The sequence below is a fragment of the Homo sapiens genome, chromosome 5, assembly GCF_000001405.40.
Source record: "Homo sapiens chromosome 5, GRCh38.p14 Primary Assembly".
Classification (NCBI taxonomy): Eukaryota; Metazoa; Chordata; class Mammalia; order Primates; family Hominidae; genus Homo; species Homo sapiens.
The window spans coordinates 69,460,569-69,463,105 of NC_000005.10; the positions used below are offsets into that span (position 1 = coordinate 69,460,569).

At 42.6% G+C, this 2,537-nt stretch overlaps 1 annotated feature.

The window, feature by feature from the left end:
• Positions 2,012-2,180: a silencer, noted in NCBI's record as "fragment chr5:68758407-68758575 (GRCh37/hg19 assembly coordinates)". NCBI's record gives its function as "represses an EF-1alpha promoter that drives an FKBP-Casp9 reporter gene in an ReSE screen in K562 erythroleukemia cells {active_cell/tissue: K562}" and the evidence as "EXISTENCE:reporter gene assay evidence [ECO:0000049][PMID:32094911]".

Here is a 2,537-nt window from a genome sequence, read left to right on the forward strand (position 1 = left end):
ATTTTGGGAGGCCGAGGCGGGCCGACCACCTGAGGTCAGGAGTTCGAGACCAGCCTGGTGGTGGGCGCCTGTCATTCTAGCTACTCAGGAGGCTGAGGAAGGAGAATCTCTTGAACCCAGGAGGCAGAGGTTGCAGTGAGCTGAGATCACATCACTGAACTCCAGTCTGGGAGACAGAGCAAGAGTCCGTCTCAAAAAAAAAAAAAAAAAGAATAACAAACTAACACATCTTGAAGTCGAATTCCTTGAAAATTATGGCCTAGAAAGCCTACTTGGCTGGGCCTGATGCTCACGCCTATAATCCCAGCACTTTGGAAGCCGAGGCAGGTGGATCACCTGAGGTCAGGAGTTTGAGACCAGCCTGACCAACATGGAGAAACCCCATCTCTATAAAAATACAAAAATTAACTGGGCGTGGTGGCACGCACCTGTAATCCCAGCTACTCAGGAGGCTGAGGCGGGAGAATCGCTTAAACCTGGGAGGCGGAGGTTGCAGTGAGCCGAGATCATGCTATTGTACTCCAGACTGGGCAACAGAGCGAGACTCCGTGTCAAAAAAAAAATGCTCATGCAAATGAGCATCACAAAAATTATACAGTTGGCTAAAGGAAACACCAAATTGATAATAATGAAGCTAAACTAATAATTGACATTTTAAAGGAAAGACTAAGCCAAGCTAATACCTAACGAGCTGTCTGAGTCAACACATAAAGTACTGATAACATACCTATCTAACTAGAAAATTGAGGAATCCCAAGGATGTAGGTATTTGCATAGTGGGAGCTTCACATAGTTACCAGCAATTCAACTTTTCAACTTTTCTTTCCTTTTTTTGAGACGGTGTCTCACTCTGTTGCCCAGACTGGAGTGCAGTGGCATGATCTCAGCTCACTGTAACCTCCACCTCCTAGGTTCAAGCAATTCTCCTGCCTCAGCCTCCCGAGTAGCTGGGATTCCAGGCGCCCGCCACCACACCCGGCTAATTTTTGTATTTTTAGTAGAGACAGGGTTTCACCATGTTGGTCAGGCTGGTCTTGAACTTCTGACCTCAAGTGATCTGCCCACCTCGGCCTCCCAAAGTGCTAGGATTTCAGGCATGAGCCACCACACCCGGCCAGCTCAACTTTTCAGTACAATGCCAAATCAATTCCTCTGTCAACTTAAGTGCTAATACCCCAGGGTTTTAGTTTTTGTTTTTGTCTTAGAAACGGGGTCTTACTATGTTGTCCAGGCTGGTCTTGAACTCCTGGGCTCAAGTGATCTTCCCAGCTTGGCCTCCCAAAGTGCTGGGATTGCAGGCATGAGCCACCACAGCCGGCCTAATACCCTAGGTGTTGGATAGCAAAGACATGTTATCCTTAGTAACTCCTGAAGAAAGTTACTAGGAGTCCTTAGTGCAATATAAAAATTTACTTACAGAAAAGAAAAAACTGCTGCATTGGTTCATAAGAACCAAGGAAAGCACTTCCAATTTGGAATCAGTGGGCTGCCCCTTGGGAGGTGCACTCGGAGAACATAAAGCTAACCCCGAGAAGGATGAGGGAGGTGCGTCCTCCAAGATTTTGAAATCTGAGTGTACAATGTGAGGAGAGGGAGCAGAGGTTGTAAGAGGAGAGGGATGACTCCACAGATCCTTTGAGAGAGAGGAAAGTGATCTACATTTTCTCAGCAAAAGCAGAGCTATCTTCAGCCAAGTTAGAAAGACTGTGAGGACCAGGGCAGTTTGAGATTTATGAAGTGCCCTTTAAAATTTTTAATTTTTTTAAATTTTTATTTATTTATTTATTAAAATTTAAAATTAAACAATTTAAAAACTTTTAAATTTTAAAAATTTAAAAAGTATTTTTGGCTCTTGAGGAATTTTCTGCTGCATTAAAGACAAGGGAATATTTACATTTAAATAACAACTCAAGAAATACTAAGGCAGGGCACAGTGGCTCACATCTGTAATTCCTGCATTTATGGGAGGCCAAGGCAGGAGTTTCGCTTGAGCCAAGAGCTTGAGACCAGTGTGGACAACAGAGCAAGACCTGGCTCTACAAAAAATGTTTTAAAAATATTAGCCAGAGGCCGGGCGCAGTGGCTCACGCCTGTAATCCCAGCACTTTGGGAGGCTGAGGCGGGTAGATCACAAGGTCAGGAGTTCAAGACCAGCCTGACCAACATGGTGGAACCCCATCTCTACTAAAAATACAAAAATTAGCTGGGCGTGGTGGCGTGCACCTGTAATCCCAGCTACTTGGGAAGCTGAGACAGAAAAATCGCTTGAACCCGGGAGGCGGAGGTTGCAGTGAGCCGAGATGGCACCACTGCACTCCAGCCTGGGCAACAAAGCAAGACTCCATCTCAAAAATATATATATATATGAAATATATAATATATATAATATATTATATGAATATATAATATATATATTATATGAAATATATAATATATATATTATATGAATATATAATACATATACTATATTATATGAAATATATAATACATATACTATATTATATGAATATATAATACATATACTGTATTATATGAAT